Source organism: Homo sapiens, chromosome 2, assembly GCF_000001405.40.
Source record: "Homo sapiens chromosome 2, GRCh38.p14 Primary Assembly".
Classification (NCBI taxonomy): domain Eukaryota; kingdom Metazoa; phylum Chordata; class Mammalia; order Primates; family Hominidae; genus Homo; species Homo sapiens.
Window position 1 is genome coordinate 51,968,365 of NC_000002.12, and position 18,848 is coordinate 51,987,212.

An 18,848-nucleotide genomic window follows, 5' to 3' on the forward strand; every position below is an offset into this window, starting at 1 on the left:
GCAAAATAGAATTATACTACATAAAGTCCAGTTTCTTTCTTCCTTAAAAAAATTATCTAGAAAAGGTTATTTTCTCAGTAATCTAATTTCTATTGGATCTGAGGCCACAATTAGCAGTAAAGATAAGAACATAGGTATAATCATTGGTAAGGTGGTAAGACTTTTTCCTACTTTCAATTTGAAAAGTCATGCAATTTCTGTGTCACTATTCATCTAGCTAACCTTTATTATGCTCTTATTATCAACCTCTTCTATTAAATTATCTTATCCTATATTTGGCTGGTTCTTACTAGTGATATTTAGCTTGTAACTATAAGAAGTAAGAGGTAGGAAGGAGGGAGAGAGAGAAAAAAAGAGTAAGGGAAAGCCTCTTGCCTTTACCTTATCAGGTAGAAATACAGTTTTTTATGCTAGGTTTGTAGTACTGAGCAAGACTCTATTTATTAAACACAAGGAGGAGGGAAAAGGAAGATTGCTTTAAAATTAATTCAAAATGAATCATAGCTCTAAAGCTCTGTAGGAAGATGCAAAAGAAAATCTACATATCTTCTGGATAGGCAAATATTTCTTAGAGTATACACCATAAAAGATAAATGACATGCTATAAAAGTTTGATTAATTAAAATTTATCAAAATTAAGAAGTATGCTGATTAAAAGATATGGTAAGAAAATAAAAAGGCAAGCCACAGACTGGATCTACATTGACATGGAAATCACATAGCTTTTCAAATTGAAGTTATGAAAAAAACCTTAATGTTCTATCTAATGATTATACCAATGTGCTTATCTTTAAGGAAAAAGAAACTTTAGAGTTTATAGAGTCTATAGTCTATTTTGCCCACTTAATCTGGTCTTATCCTTATATTACCAAGCCTTTCTTATAAAACCATTTAAGAACAAGCAAATTGACACAATGTAATTCTGACAGACAACTTATATTCAGATTATGTAAATAATAAAAGTTTTGAACAGATATTTTCTAATAGATGATAGACAGATGGCCAAGAAATACACAAAGATTCTCAACTAAATAAATAGCAAGAAATTTCAAGGTAAAATCACAATGAGCTACTACTTTACATTCACTACAATAGTTAAAATTAAAAAGATGGGCAACACCAAGTATTAGAAAACATTTTATCAGTTTCTCATAAGGTTATACCTACACTTATCATGACTCAGCAATTCTTCTGCTGTGCATTTACGCAAGAAATATGAAAATCTATGTCTACACAAAGACTTGCACACCAATTCATGCTACCTTTATTTAGAATAGCCAAAAACTACAAGTAATCTGTGCCATTTGTCAGTTTATTACCTCTCAACTATGAATACACTGTGCATTCACTGCTGGGTGAAAATAGAGCTGTGTGCATTAAATATTTCTCCTTTGAATAATAATACAATACTAAGATTTATCCCAGAAGATGCCAGAAGAAAGTACAAGGTGAAAGGACACTTCTTGATTTCAGCATGCCCCTCTTACCAAGCTCCTTCTACTTGCAGTTTCACTAGTGATGGGCACATGGAGAGTCTAGCTTTTCCAATGTCCAGCCCCTGCTGCATACATTTCCCCCAGTGCCCAGCCCCCAGAGTTAAGGGCTTCTCCAGACATGACTTCTTATAATGACTGACAGCCATCAGGGACCCAAATCTCCCACTATACCTCTTACCTGGGTTGGTGGACTGATATCAATAGAGTACCTCCCCAACGAACATCTTCACCTATACCCCATCAGTAGGTTTGCAGTGAGTTCCAAACACAGCATCTTTCTTGGCATGGCTTCTCCCAGCACCAGAGAGGGTATATTTTCAGCAAGTTCCATTGGTACCTTACTGTCTTCTCTATCATCCAGTGAACCACATCTATTTCTTCTCCAGTGAAGTCTGGATCTCAACTTTTGATGAAAAAATTCCTCTTCCTTGGGTACTCTATTATTTTGGGATAGTATGATTTTTCCACTGTTTATGGTTCTTATATTCATTTGAGGTCTCTCTACTTCTTGCTAGCCAATCACATGTTAGTTCTATTTTTTGTTATAGTTAATATTTTTTCATACTAAAACTTTCTCTGTTTAAACTACTGTTTCTTTCTCCTAGTTGGACCCTGACTGAAACACAACTAAATTGTCTACCAATTTTACAAGTGAATAGACAAATACATAATGGTATGTATCTGAAAGTGACTACTACTCAACCATGAAAAAAGAACAATGAGGTGATATGCAACAATCTGAAAAATATCTCAAAAACATATTGAATGAAAGAAACCAAACACAAAAGAATTCTTACCATAAAATTCCATTTCTATAACATTTTAGAATAGGCAAAGCTAACACATAGGGAGAGAAAGCAGGTCCATGGTTGCTTGAGGCCATATATAAGGGGAGGGGGAATTAACTGTAAAACAGCACAAGGTTACTGTGTAGGGTGATTACAATATTGTATTTTTTATTATGTTGGTAGTTGCATGAGCATATGCATTTGTGAAAAGTCATCAAATTGAAGCAGGTGCATTTTATTTTCTCTAAATTATACCTCAATAATTTGTTTAAAAATTAAAACAAAAATCATTATTGCACTAGTAAATATTCACTTATCGTGTTATATTAAGTATGATTGAAAGTCATGGCGATTGACTCTTCTACATCCATTTTGCCCCAGATAATTAGACTAAGCTCTTTGCATTTTGCCATCGATTTTTTAGAGAATGGGCATATGATGCAGGACTGGTCAATGAATCATGAGTTGAATTATTCCAGAAGAGGGAGTTTATGGAGAGAGTTTTCTAGCTCCTGAAAAAGTGATAGAAGAAACATAATCTTTCTTTTCTTTCTATGTTCTCATGTCTGGAAATGGATTCTGTGAATGGCTATAAACATCTGGTGGGATAAACAACCACAAATCTAACTCTCAGACAGCTAGAAGTACGTATTGCTCATGCAAATGGGGCAATTGGCAAGGCAGCTCTGTTAATGTTGGCTAGACTTAGTTATATATCTGAGGACTGACTGGGCTATTGGTTGATCCAGACATGCCTTGCTTAAGATGTCTGGGGTGACTCCATGTGTCTCTCATCCCCCAGCAGGCTGGCCCAATCATATTCTCAAGGCATAAAAGCAAGTCCTTTTCTAAAAAAACATATTTTATTTTATTTTTTAACTTCTGGGATACACGTGCGGTACGTGCAGGTCTTTTACATAGGTAAATGTGTGCCATAGTGGTTTACTGCACCTATCAACCCGTCACTTAGGTATTAAGCTCTGCATGCGTTAGCTACGTGACATATGCTAACAATCTGCCAAAGCAAGTTGCATATCCAAATCAACTTCAAGGTGCATATGCACAGAGTCCGTCTCTTGATTAAGAAGCTGAAATGTAACTTGATAAATGATGTAAAGAAAGGATGAGACAAAAATTTAAGCTTTTATTCCAGTTAATCTGCCAATTTAATTTATGCCTATCCTGTTCTAGATCTGTACTTGTCTCATGCAAAGCTGATACACATCTATCTCGGTCTCAAAATTTCCATCAAACCTTCCGTGCCCTGCTCAAATATCCTCGTCATGAATACATCTCTGATCTTCCCAGCAGGAATTAATCTTTCCCTGTCCTTTGTATCTCCACATTTCTTTTTTTTTTTTTTTTTTTTTTTTTTGAGACGGAGTCTCGCTCTGTTGCCCAGGCCAGACTGCGGACTGCAGTGGCGCAATCTCGGCTCACTGCAAGCTCCGCTTCCCCGGGTTCACGCCATTCTCCTGCCTCAGCCTCCCGAGTAGCTGGGACTACAGGCGCCCGCCACCGCGCCCGGCTAATTTTTTGTATTTTTAGTAGAGACGGGGTTTCACCTTGTTAGCCAGGATGGTCTCGATCTCCTGACCTCATGATCCGCCCGCCTCGGCCTCCCAAAGTGCTGGGATTACAGGCGTGAGCCACCGCGCCCGGCCGTATCTCCACATTTCTTTCTCCATATCTATAATTCAGCACTCCTTCTTGTATGTTATTTTACTTATTTGGGCCTCTTTTCTCCCACCATCTCAACCACTATACATTGCAAAATCTGACAGGTTGCCAAGATATTAAAAAATACTAATAGACTTCTAACAGAAGGGAATTCTCTAAATTATTACAGAAAAGAGAAAGAGGGATGACATATGTTTATGATTTCTATCCTTCCTCTCTGATTTTAGAAGTCCTTACGAAAATTTTATTTTCACTAATTTACTTTGAAAGCAGCCTCTCAAATCAAGGGTTACCAACCCATGGTACTTGCACAAACTCTGTGCAATTTCTAATTTTGGCTCACCTTGATTTCCCAAGGTGCTACTGTGTGACAGAGTTTGCATTTTCCCTCCTCTCCTTCTATCAGTTTTCCTGGTTTCCCAAGCATCCTTAGCACTGGGATAAACTAAAACTCATTTTCTTGTAATTAAATGCATTCAAAATGTAGTTCACCAAGCATAAAAACTCTCCTAATCTTCTGTCAACAAAAGCCCAATAATGCAATCTGTATGAATGAGTTGTTAAGTTTAAACTCCACAGGTCAGGTGAGTGGGCTTCACAATCAGTTTTAAAATCACTGAAGTAGGAGACATTTTACATACTATTAAAACATAGAAAATTATTTGTGAAAGTGAAATCATGTAAAAAGTCTGACTTAAGGATAGAAGTCATCATTAATGGCAGTGGGTACTTATGAAGCACCTACTGTGGCTTGGCACTGAGGTAGAGATGATAGGAAAGCTAAAAATGAACATGCATCCAATTAGCCACATATGCTATGTTCAGTGATGAGATGTGTATGAACACTTCACATTATCACAAAGGTGACTATAATCATTCATTTTCATATATGTTAGCTTTATTCCTCAACTTCTGAAAGCCACTTGTGATCCTCTGTGAACACATAACTTTCTTTTTTACCGAGAAGATGCCAAAAACGATTGATAACATCCCATTCCATAAAGATGCTCCTTCTTAAATGACATGATCAGAGTGATTTAGGGTATTTAAATGAATTGGTCCCAACCAAGACAAAATATGGATTTTACCACTTTGATAGAATTAAAAACAAGTTACTCTGGTTCTAGAATACATTTTTTCTATTACTGTGTGTATTAGTCTGTTCTCACACTACTACAAAGAAGTACCTGAAACTGGGTAATTTGTAAAGAAAATACGTTTAATTGGCTCACCGTTCTGTAGGCTGTACAGGAAGAATGGCTGGGGAGGTTTCAGAAAACTTTTGATCATGGCAGAAGGGGAAGCAGGCACATCTTACATGGCCAGAGCAGAAGGAAGAGAGCCAAGGGGAGGTGCTGCACACTTTTAAACAACCAGATCTCATGAGAATCCACTCACTATTATGAGAACAGCAAGGAGCAAATTTGCCCTCCGTGATGTAATCACCTCCTACTAGGACTCTCCTCCAACATTGGGGATTACAATTCAACATGAGATTTGAGCGGGGACACAAATCCAAACCATATCACTGTGCATTCTGAGGTTCAATTTAGAGTTTGATTTATTATTATTTTTTAAAGAGACAACTGCTGCCTTTCAAAGGATCATTTTTTATGTTACAATTTTGGTACAAGAACACAGAGCAGTAGTGTGGATAGATGCTACTATACTGGATTATCCTCAAATTAGAGATGAACAGAGGGACAAGGATTTACTTGATAAGCCCAAGTTCATACTGGTACGCCTGGGAATAAAAGTGAGAGTTTCTAACTTTATGCTCAATGCCCTTTTCAATACAAAAGAGCTCTGGTTACTTTTATCAAAGCAGAACAGCTGAGAATCTAATTATGCGCTAAAGGTCTCAGACAGATGTGCTCTTTTCTTATATTTTGAAATTAAATCATCTCTGGATTTTATGGCAAAATATCATTATCAAACACTAATATTGTGTATACAGTGTACATATTTTGTTTGTTTTGTGGCTACCTTTGTCTCAACAACTTTAGCGAAGTTCTATTTTCACTATATTGGCATTTTCACAAATAATAAGGTTTCACAGTTAACTCGTGAACCTGAAGAAAATGACTGGATATAGAACCAAAAAACAATTCAGACAGAATAACAAAATGCTGATTGTTTGATTATGGTGATAAATGTATGATAATGATTTTCTATGATCAAGGACAATGCATCTGAAAACTGGCAGTCATAGTTCAGTCTAGTGTTGCTTTTTATTAGGTGTGGCTTGGGCTAAGTTATTAAACCTTCTTTATGTCTTAGTGTACTACTTTATAAAGTGATGACAAAAGCAATACCTACCTCATAAGCTTGTAGTAGATTAGATGAGCTAATATATGTAAAGCACTTAGAATCATGTCAAGCGTATAAATAAGTACTCAATAATAGTTGGATATTTTTATGGCCCTAGTATGAAAGCCCACAGGAATTAATTATATTTATTTTTTAAACTACAACTGAGATAGATGTTCTTTTTCCATATTTGTTTTACAAACTGTCCTATGTCTTTTTATCAATATTCTTTTACTCTCAGAATTTATGAAGATAAAAACAGGCTTACAGAAAATTATGCAGCCCTTTTTCATGAAAGATTGTGAAAAAAATTCTAGAGGAATAACCATTATTTAATGTTAAATGTCAGAACTTTGAAAATCTAATAAACTCCAAGTTATGGAGAGTAAGGGTGAGTTGTTATAGCTTTACTCTTCAATGTGGGACCTGCAAAAGTGTTTAAAGATAAATAACAGATGCAGAACTGTGAAAAGTGGTTGATGAGTTAATCAGATTTTCAAGGAGCTAAGAGGCACTATACACTGTGACCCATATCTAAGGAAATGGAGAATTAACCAAAGGGTTTACAACTGGTTCATCATAATCAAACCTTCATTTATCTTCTCTAATTGTCCTTTTCATTCTCCTCCTTTTCATTCTTATGTAGTCATCTCTCCTTCCCATTCTTTAATCCCCTCTTTTAATTGCATTCCTTATTTTTCATTTTATTCTCTTTAATATTTTTATCTCATCACCTTCCTTCTATATCATTTTGGTATACTCTAATGTCCTAGAGAATAATAAAAGATAGGTATTAGTATTTTTAAATAAGTGTATATTTCTTTTTCTTATTTTTTATAATTTATATACTACTGAGTATATGTCTCTTACAAATGATTCCTTATTTCTATTTGACTCTTGGCTATCTCAAAAGAACCTATAAAACTTTGCCATAAATAACCTCCCAAAAAGGTAAAGTCTAATTTGCACTTAGGATGAAGGTAATCTTGATTTTACTAGTTTTCTCAGCTTTTCTAATTCCTACTCCCACTTTTATATTAAAGAACTGCCATGATGTTCATTTGGCATTTGCTCTTCCCTTGAGAGCCTAGGAGGTAATACTTACAAAGTAAATGATAATTTCCTGTTTCTCTGCTACTGTCTGATCCTGTTCCTTGGGGGTCAGTAAAACACATGGTCAAATTGATTTTTTGAGGCCCCCAAATCTAAAGTCTTTGTGATATTTCAGATAATCCTTTGATGCCATTGTGGTTTGTGAATGCTAAATGGTATTTTTGATCTATGCCAGTACTGATGCCTAGTCAGAATGTCATTAACTTTCTCCTTTGCTGAAAACTTTCATAGAAAGCCACATGGAGGTGATACATCGTTTTGGAAATAGTTAATTAGCAGCCTGCTACTCCTTGCAGTTCTCTCCAACAAGGTCATACACATTAACAGACATATTTTGTGGCACTAAGTCGCCATAAAATTTAGTTTGAAAATTTTATTTCAGTATGGGTATTGGTCTTTTACTTAGTATGTTCGAAACAAAAAAAAATGTGTATAAAGATGTCAAATATTCAGCACATTAATAGAAGAGTAAGGCACATGCTTTAGAAATGTGAAAAATATACCAAAATGGTCTTTCACTCCTTCTACATTAAAAATACTAACTTCAGGGAAGAAGTCATGTTTTTATAAAAGATGGTTTAAAAAATTAAAATATATGTGATATGGTTTCAAAAATGGCTAAGGCATAATTTTTAACCCATAAGTAATGGAATTTTAAACATAGATGTGTGTGCTTTATTGAAAAATCAATAAAAATTCTCTCGTGCACTTGTCATTAAGGAGTGTATGAAATTGACACAATCAACACAGACAATAACCAGTAGTGATAACAAGCAGTGTTCCATACAATGACATATACAACTATCATTACTGAGAATAATGACAAAAATTATGATGATACATAGATTCTCAAGAGTCTGAGGAATTTAATGTTTTGCCACATACCAGATATCTTACTCTAGTTCTCTTTAATTATCTTAAAACAATCTAACATTTCTCAAATTTTGGTTAGCTTTTTATTATGCTTGTTGACACAAAAGAGGTACATGAAATGAATTCACGAACACACCTATCAGAGGAAATTATGCTCACATGATGGGAAAAAATATGATGAACACAAATGAGTGACGAAATGGGGATTATTACCAACATTCTTGGTGCTGAGACTTTATCATTTTAACAATCAGTTGCTGGTGCCAAGTGAAATAGGTTAGACACAAAAGGAAAATTAGGAAATTGCTCATGTCTTCAATATTCTCAGCATCTATTTGGAGGAAAAATATAGAAATGAGACTACTTCTAAATTGCATGATTTATTAGAGGCAAAATTGGATTACAGAAAAGTGGCGGTATGACTAGGGTAAGGTAGATGAAAAGATTAATATGAGTGGTGAAACTTTCTAAGCAATAGTAATGTATTGCTAGGTTTCACCTAGATAGAGAAGTAGAATGATTCCATATTAGGGGAAAAGAATGCTAGAGGCAATAAGAAAAAGTGAGAATAACTGTCGTACATTCTGGGTATGTTAAAAGAAGTTCCAGTTTTATCCAAGGGAGATTTCGATACATAGAAGAGAAAGGATGAAATTTGGAATTCAAAAGGCCTCATTTGAATTTTTTTTTCTGCTTCTTACCACCTGTATGACTTGAGCAAGTTAACTGATATCATTTAGTCTTAATTTTTCTCATCTGCAAATTAGAAGAACTAATAAATAATTTAAAAGTATTTATAGGGAATATATGAGGTAACAAATATAAAAATCCATAACAATATCTGAAAATATGATAGGAAATTCATAAATTTTTCTAATGATCCAAACTTGAATGAGTGGACAAAAATGTTAAAAACTGTGCTTATGTTGTGGTTATAGATTGGGAGATTCAACGCAGTAAAAATGTCAGTGGTCCTCAAATAAATATAAAGTTTTAACATAATTTTCATCACATTCCCAGTAAGCAGAAATAGATTATTCTAAAATGTATATAGAAAGGCAAAGAGGCTAAAATAGCTCAAATAATTGTAAAAGAGAAGAAGAAAGTCAGAGAAACCAGTGTAACCAATTTCAAGCTTTATCATATACTACAGTAATCAAGGCTGTGGTAGTGCAAGAGGGACAGACACATAGATCTATTGGAATAAAATAGGCATTGTGGAAATCAGCCCAAAAAAATTTATCACAGAAATATGCCCAACATATTTTTGACAAAGGTTCAAAAGCAATACAGGAGTGGAAGAATAGCATTTTCAACAAAACAGTACTAGAGCAATTCACCATCAATAGGTAGAAAACTTAAACTTTTTAAATTTAAAACTTATATTAAGTGTTATGTGTTATACAAAAAATAACTTAAAATGGATCAATGACTGCTGAGGTTTAAATGTGTCCTCCAAAGTTCATGTGTTGGAACTTACTCCCCAGTGCAACAGTGTTAGGAGGTAGCTCCCAATGGGAGGAACTTTGAGCCAAGTAAACCTCTATTGTTTGTAAATTGCCCAATTTCAGTTATTTTGTTACAGCAACACAAAATGAACTAAGACAATGACTTGAATATAAGATATAAATTCATGAAAAATTTAGAAATTATATAGGAGAAAATCTTCAGAGTTTGGGATAAATAAGAAGTTAGAATTTATACCAAAAGCATGACAGGAAACATTGATAAATTGAAGTTCATCAAAATTTAAAACTTTAGCTCACCAACTACCTGGTTAAGAGATAAAAAGACAAACTATAGATTGAGCCAAATATTTGCAAACCACATATCCAACAGAGGACTTTTACCTAGAATACCTAAAGGATTCTCAAAACTCAACAGTAACACGAAACAAAACAACAACAAAAAAATTCAATAAGAAAACTTCCAAAAGACTTACACAGATATTTCACAGAAGTGGATACACAGATTTGTATAAGGAGCAAATTAATACATGAAAAGATATTCAACGCCATTAGCCAAAAGAGAAATTAAAATTAAAACCACAAGAAATTACTACATATCTATTGTAAAGGCTAAACTTTTTTAAAAGTCACAATGCCAAATTCTTGCAAATATATGAAGAAACTATAATAGATCAGTCATAATTTGCTAGTGGGAATATAGCATTGCAGCTATTTTGAAAAATAGTTTTCCAATGTGAAAACAAAAACAAAAACAAAAAACACTAAACATGCAGCTAACATGCAACCAAGCAATTACACCACTGGGCATTTATCGTAGACAAAAAGTTACGATCACACAAGAACTTATACATGGAAATTTATGGAAGTTTTATTCATAATACTCCCCAAATGGAAACAACTCAGATGTCCTTCAAAGGATAAATGGTCAAAAACAAGCAAGCAAATAAACAAAGGAAAATAACTTAGGTACATCTATATAGTGGAACACTATGCAACAAAGAAAAGAAGCAAACTATTGATATTTGTACCAATGTAGGTGAGTTTCTAAACAATAATGCTGAGTGAAAAAACAAATCCAAAAAGGCTACATAATGTATTATTGCGTTTACATAACATTCTTGAAGTTACAAATCATAGAAATAGAGAATGGATTAAGTGATTTCCTGGAGTTAAGTACTGGGAATTAAGGGTTGAGGGGTACGTGGTATGGTGAAAATAAGTTCAGTGTGGCTATAATAGGTCAACAGTCAGAATGCTCCTGGTGATAGAATGTTTTGTATATTGACTGTGTCAATATTAATATCGTGATTGTGATATTATAAGCAGAATCTTACCGTATAATTGTTTATAACTGCGTGTGAATCTACAACTGTGTTAAAATTTGGAAGTTTAATTTGATTACAAATATATTACAAGAATTATTTAATTTGTTGTTTTCTATTTCATCTAAAAGTTTGGCCATTTCAGTTTGCAGAGAGCTCTAATCCAAAAGTTTACTCAGTTATCCAGTTCCTTTTCATTTTTTGTTGTCTCATACCTGATCTTTAATTCCTTTTCATATTCCTTCTCTGCATAGCAAAAGCTTGATTGCTGCAATATTCACATTCAAACACTGACAACAAGGAAGTAAGAAAGATAAAGTAAAAAATTTCTGCTTAAGCAAGTGTGGTAGATTTTCTTATTTAATGATGATTATTTGTTACCTCTTGTCTCTTATATCTTTCCATGTTTCCCTGTAGGTGTTGTGTATTCTTCAGCCACTTTTACTTTAGATTTAGCCCTGTGCCTTTCTTTGGTCAATGTAATGTAGCCTCAGCTTGCATTCATTCCTTACCTCATATTCCATCCATCCACTTGAGAATTGCATGTCCCAGATAGTGTCAGCTCCTCTAGACTTGGTTCCTATAATGAGAAGACAAAAGGTGGTCATCTTTAGCTGATCCATAGCTCTTTTGAGATATGATCAGAAATAAATGAATCATGAGATATCCAGACAGTTTGTTACCATGAACAAATTGTGTTGTTTCTTGGATGAGTGACACAAGTAAGATGGAAGTTGCTTGCCTATTTCCACTGAGGATGAAACTAAGATACAAGAGGGGCTGAGAAATAAGTTTTGGAAAAGAATTTGCATACTCAGGAGTAACTAAATCTGGTGGAAAATAAGGTGTCTTCTAGTAACCAATAGTCATACTGTACTTTTGCTCCACTAATCCATCTCCAAACTATATAAGGGACCTTATTTTTTTTAAGTATGTTCTAGAAGTGCTATTATTCCTGTAGCCAAATTCTTTTAAATGTTCATAGTAGCAGGCAGAATTCAAAATTAGGGCAGATAAAAGAAAAATGATGAAATTATGTGAATTATTGAATAATTATATGAATAATGTTAGAACAAGCTCTTATAAAAAAAATGAAGAACTGCATGTATGAGAAATGCAAAAACACTCTTAAAGCTCGTATTTACAATAGTGATTTGAGAAATAATTTATTTATATTTATTCTAACAGCCAACAAGTAAAATGCTCTGCCATGTATCTACTTAACAGAAAAAGCTTTTCAGTTGTTGACAAAGAATGTAAATTAGCCAAGTTAACTCAGGCTTTTAGAAAGCTCAACTAAAATCTCAGAAGTCAAATTTTGTTTAAACTTTAAACTGTCAGAATATATGAAATCTCTTCCCTTTCTCTGAGAGGTGATGCTGCTTATATTAGATGAAAATGCAAAAAGAAGTAGATGTTGCCAAGTGTTATAGGCATAAGAGTGCAAGAACACAAATGCTAGAAACAATATCACAGCTCATTTTTTTGATAGAATATAAGTGCAAAATTGTTAGCAGGTTATTCTTCAATTTAAGGCAACAAAATCAAATATATATAAGGCTTTTCAATCACTCCTGAAATAAATATAATTTTAAAGCTTGCAACATTTAGTCTTTTAAGAAAAGAAACAAGTTTTTTAAAATCTTAGTGAAAGAGGTACTCTTAAAAGTGGATAAACAGTAGGTAAATAAAAATGCTTTTGCTTTCTGTCTGCAGCTACAACTCCACACTGAAAACAGTCTTAAAAAAGGCATAATGAGAAACATTCTTAAAGAATATGAAAAATACACACACATGCACGTAACATACACACACACAAGTGAAATACTCTGCTGTCATCTACTTATCAGAGATACAGTTTATACTAGCTTAAGATAAATAGATTTGTATGGTCTTTCATTAATTTAGATTTTAAACTAAGTTGGTGCTGCGCCCATCCTAAAAGAGGAAAAACAAATATTGGTATATTGAATTAAAACAATATAATTGCAATGAGAAATAAAAAATATAAATACAACAGGATGGTTTACTTACATAATTGGCCGAATATAGTGAATTTAAACACAGAAATGTACTAATAGAAAATCTTAGGAAATCTTTTCTTTTTAAAGACGAATTTTAGAGATTATTATATTATTTACACATCAATTTTAAGCATAAAGACAAAAATAGAAAATCAACCTTTAAAATGTCATAACAGCAACTCCCAAGAAGAGATCAATAATAGATTTAGTGAAATACTCCCTCAAATGTGTTACAGTTGTTAAAACTAATTGAAGATTAAAATTTAGCTCCAGCATTCAGTCAAATGTAGAACATTTTAACTAAAGATAATAGAATATTATACATCTAGTCTTGGATCTGACTCTGTCATTTCTGAGTATATGATAAAAGTGATGAGCAAATGCCAGTGAAACATCATGTTTATGAAAAGTTTTTAAAGAGCAATAAATCGATGTTTACAATGTTATGGTCATTATAGAGTGCTGATATGTAATAAATTTTATATTTCAAAATCTTGCTGGAAATGTTAAATAAGAATAGTTTTGTATCGCATTGCTTGGCAGAAATCCCATTCAAGACAGCATATGTTAGGACTCTGCCATGACTCAGCATTCATATGTTACTTCTTAAATCATATAAAAAATAAGATGAGAGTTGTGAGATAAATCATCTTGTTTTCTGTTTATTCCTCATTTTTATGTGAAAAATAATCAAATACTTGTTGAGGAAACATGCACAACTTTACACTAAAATTTTATATAGCATATAAAAATGACTGAAATTTTTTCCTAGCCTTTAGTTACTTTATGTATAATAGAAGGCATAAAGACGAACAACACATATGAAATAAAATCTATAAAAAAAAAAACAAGCATCTCCCTGATGAAGTCAAGGACTATACCTTTTTAATCTTTGTTTTCTTGGTACACAATATAAGACATTTATTCGATATATGTTTGTTAAATAAACTAATGAAAATGATGCTTGGATGTAGACTTTCGATTTCTCAATTATTGGTTGAGGGACTATCTACACATAGTAGCTGAAATATTTCTGCAAATAATCTTTACTACTTCTCCAATTTTTTTATTCAATTGTTTGTATCATTGTGAACTTATATTTTTTTCTTATGTACATTGGGTTATAATCTATGACTGTCCTGTTAATTTTGTTTGTTCAAATTTTTCCAGACTAGCCGTTGTGAGTTCTTCCAAATTGATTCTTATATGCCTTTAACATTCCCCTATCTTATCTTTCTGTTTTTTAAAGCACATCTTTATTTGCTTCAGGCCCATCTTATATTTTCCTTTTTCCAGCCGTGGAATCAGCCATTTATCCAAGAACCCCTTGGTTCCTTGTAGTAAATCAAAAATAAGACAACATAAAAAATTTTTAAAAGTTACACATAGGCAAAAATGTGACCTGATACTTCTCAAAAGAATATTCACTAGTAAAAGAAATGCAAATCATTATCACTACACACATATAAGAAAAGCTAAAACAAAAAATGACAGACCACATACGAAGTTCTGGTTAGGATGTGGAGCAACTCTAACTTCAGAGACATTGCTAGAATAAATGAAAAATTGAACAGCCACTGTGGAAAACATTATGGCACTATCTCGTGAGCTTTTATATGCACTTACCATACAACTCAGAAATTTCATTTTTGAGTACCAACTCATGAAAAATAAACACAAAGGCATACAGAAAGACTTGTACACTGAATGTTAATGATTTATACTAGCTAAAACAACCCAATATACATCATCTAGTGAATAAACAAATTTTGAGATACTCATACAATGCTATGGTAACTAGCAATAGAAAAATAACAAAATATTGGTCCAGGCGTGGTGGCTCATGCCTGTAATCCCAGGACTTTGGGAGGCCAAGGCAGGTGGTTCACCTGAGGTCAGGGGTTCAAGACCAGCCTGACCAACATGAGTAACCTCTTCTCTACTAAAAAATACAAAAATTAGCCAAGCATGGTGGCAGGCACCTGTAATCCCAGCTGCTTGGGAGGCTGAGGCAGGAGAATCGCTTGAACCCGGGAGGCGGAGGTTGCAGTGAGCCAAGATCGCACCCTTGCACTCCAGCCTGGGCAATGGAGCAAGACTCCATCTCAAAAAAGAAGAGAGGAGAGGAGAGGAGAGGAGAGGATTAATACATGCAACAGCATGGATGGTACTCAAAAATATTATGCCAAGTGAAAGAAGTCAAACACAAGTTACACATGCTACATGGTTCCATTATGTGACTTTCAAGACAAACTACAGTGACAGAAACAGATTAGTGATTGTCTGTAGTTGAATACTGGAGAAGGGATTGATTGCAACAAAGCATAAGTCAACTTCTTAGGGTGATAAAACTATTTGATATTTTCATTATGTTGGTGGCTAGATGATTTTATATAATTACAAAAATTTAAGCCTGATTCTAGAATGTTTTCTACATTATCTACATTTCAAATGTAGGTTATGTTTATTGCATATAAATATGTCAGTAAAAATAAAATAAGTTAGCTGTAGCTGCGCAATAATAAAATTATGTTACTATCTTAAGAAAATGTACTCTGGATATCACTTTACTTACATACCTAAAATTTAGTCTTTCAAATATCTTTTGGAAAGAGGAAGAGAGAACTTTTTTAAGCTGTCACATTCTATTTATCTGCTATTCTTTATAGTCAAACTTCTCAAAAGATGTGTATTCATACACTTTTCACTCCACTTTTTTCTCTTATTCACATTTTAATCTACTGCCATTTGGCTACACTTCAATGAAATTCCACTTATCAGTGTTACCAAAACCCAAATGTTTAGGGACAATTCCAATGGACTCAAACTCTCATCTGTATTCAACTGTCAGTTGCCCCTTATGTCTTGAAACATTCTCTGTCTTTGTTTCCATGACACTGTAGAATCCTGATTTTTCCCCACCTGTTGGCTGATCTTTACAATTGTCTTCCAAAGATCCATATTCACCGTCTAAGTGCTGAAGTGCTTAAGGACTCAGTACAAGGCCCTCTTCTCATCATGTATTTCACCTTTGGTCATTTCAAATTAGAATCTCTGACATAGACCCCTCCTAGCTTCAAATCCAAATATCAAGTTATCTCCTTAATATTCTTGACATGGATATAACATTCTCAAAATTAACAGTTACACAACTTAATTCTTTATTCTCTTCTCACCCTTTTCCTCACCATCCCTCTTTTCTATCACTGTATTAATTTATCCCATGCACTTCCATCTAAGCAAAAGCAACACCATATACTTTAGTAATCAAGCCCCATCCTGACTTTCACCATTTCCTGGTGCCTCATAATCAGACTATCAACAAATTTATTTTTATATCATTATAAAATATATCCCAAATCCCTTTAGTTTTCACCCTTTCACTGCTACAAGCAAAGTACAAACAAGCTATTGAAACAATAGATTCATAATCAGTTTTTCTGCTTCTACTCTTGCTCTGTTTCATTTCATTCCCCAGAAAGTGGCCAAATTAATATTTAAAACACATAAATGAAATTAATGTCATCTACTATCTTACTTATCACTTACAATAAAATTAAAACTTCTTACAGACCTATGATGCACGGCATAAGCTGCCTTTGCCTTTCTCTGCAATCTCATCTCATCTCACAGCCTACCTTGTTCAGTACACTTCAGTCACACTGGCTTTTTCTCAGTTCACGTGCTATTCTCAGGTTTTCCCTTCTTCAAGTATGTTGCTTTGTTTGAAATATAAACCCTGCTACTGTTTACAGAGGTTTCTCTGTCTCAGCCTTCCATTTTCAGCTTATGTTCCATCTTTAGAGAAAAAAACTCTGAATTTTTCCTTTCTTTTATGCCATGCTGCTTATTTCCTTCAGACCACATCATACAATAAATAAAACTTTATTTGTGTCTTTACTTATATATTGTCAACCGGTCTTTCTAGACTGTAGGCTGCATGAGAGCATGTAATGTATGTATGTATACGTATCTTGTTTCCCACCATGTAGTAATCATCTAACATGGGGCATGGTCATATTAGCTACTCAGTAAAGATTTGTTCATTGAAAAGTTTTGCATAAATTTAAAGAAAAAATGTTTCTAGACAGTACTATATATATTTTCATTGTAACCATTAGGAGTATTGGAACCATTTTTTCCAAATATAATAGTGGTATTGTATATTATGACCCAAATTCATTTTTCTAAAGTAAAATGTAATTTTCTGTTCTACCTTTTATAAACTCAATGAATGATTTTTATATTATATTCAGTGGATTATTTAAAGTCTCCAAAATCCCATGAGAATGCAGATGGGAAATATATAAGTAAGAAAGAATAGAGGGATTGTATAAGAAAGAAAAGAAAGACAAAATGAAGAAGGAAGTAGAGAAGAAGGCAAAAGGAAAGACAAGGAAAAGATGCTACTTAACTATAGAGGGTTAAAATGTGAACATTTTTAAAATTCGAATAAAAAACATGGTTATCTAATATACATGTTCTCTAGTGCCAGTTGGATTTGCTCAACATTTTCCCAAAATAACCAAAGGAAAGTTTAAAGGTAATATAAACTTTAAAAATAATGGCTCTATTTTTGGAAAGGGCAAAGACAAAGAACTGTTAATGTTGCCACAGTATTGAGATTCTTTGGACATGTACCAATATTTTTAGGCTACTTGACAAGAAAAGCTACTTATATGCATATAATTATGCAAATTTCATGTGAAAGACCTGAAAATATGACCCCTTGTAAAAGTGCACATTTTTAGACCAATGGACCTGTGATCAAAACCATCATTATACAAGCTATAATCACATTTCTTTTGCAGCGGATGCAAATTATCCTTAAAGGTTCTTGGCAATGCATTTATTTGGAATAGGGACAAACTCAGACTTTCAAACACAGGTTTTTCTCTTGTGCATTCCCCTCAGTTCCCCATCATTTGTCTGCCATTTTCTCTTATAAATAGATCAGGAAAGACTTCCAAATCTTATTTTTTTAAAAATATGTGTAAGAATCCTTGTCTACATTTGTCTGGAGATAACCATGATTCCCCTGCTTCGCTGCCCAAGAACAGCAGCTTTTGTTTTTTCAGAACAAAAAATCATTTTTGAAATCTTTTTTTTTAAGATAATAATCTGAAATAATGTTACAGGCCTCTTCACAAATGTTGGCCAGGCTATATTATTATAAAATGATTATTCATCTCTTTAGTGTAATGAAGTATAATAGTATACTTAGAGCATATTATTATAAAATGATTATACATCTCTTTACTAAATGTATATCCTATGTATAGTAGGGTATACCTTTAGTACTGTGTTGAAGCACTATCATATTTCCCTCACTAATAATTTGAGCATTCATGAAAAGCATTATTAAAGTAGCAACTAGTACTCAGTGGGTGTTAACAGAGCAAGACCTGTTTTCCATAGTTGCTACCGAATTAGTAAAATATTTAATCTATCTCCAAAAAACACATAAAAATATATAAAATTTTGACTTGATGATCCCCCCAAATATGTCTGTTTTGGCACTATCAATGTCCAATGAGACTTCTTAGCACTTAGGAGCCCCAGGAGACACTATTTGAGGCTATTTTGCCTGTCTTCAGATTTCAGTCTAGCACTCTCACCTGCTACAGGAAATCCTGAAGAAAAGGGAAGATGTCTCCAATGATGATTAATATCACTGACATGAATTCCTGAAGCTAACTGCTGCTGAAAGAGTGGCCAGGAGTAACCTCTCTAGTGTAAAAGCAATAGTGTGTTCATATTCCAATCTTTAAGT

At 33.5% G+C, this 18,848-nt stretch overlaps 2 long non-coding RNA genes across 2 annotated transcripts in view; one reads left to right on the plus strand and one right to left on the minus strand.

Annotated features, from left to right (window-relative positions):
• NRXN1-DT (NRXN1 divergent transcript) overlaps positions 1 to 18,848 on the plus strand; it is a 1,375,317-nt gene that overhangs the window by 935,764 nt on the left and 420,705 nt on the right. The window lies entirely within an intron of this gene.
• On the minus strand, positions 8,325 to 15,922 carry LOC105374597 (uncharacterized). The gene is made up of 4 exons (XR_940081.3): positions 15,655 to 15,922; positions 11,564 to 11,631; positions 11,267 to 11,341; positions 8,325 to 8,591 (listed from the first exon to the last, which is right to left on the minus strand). It is a non-coding gene; the product is annotated as an uncharacterized LOC105374597 (long non-coding RNA).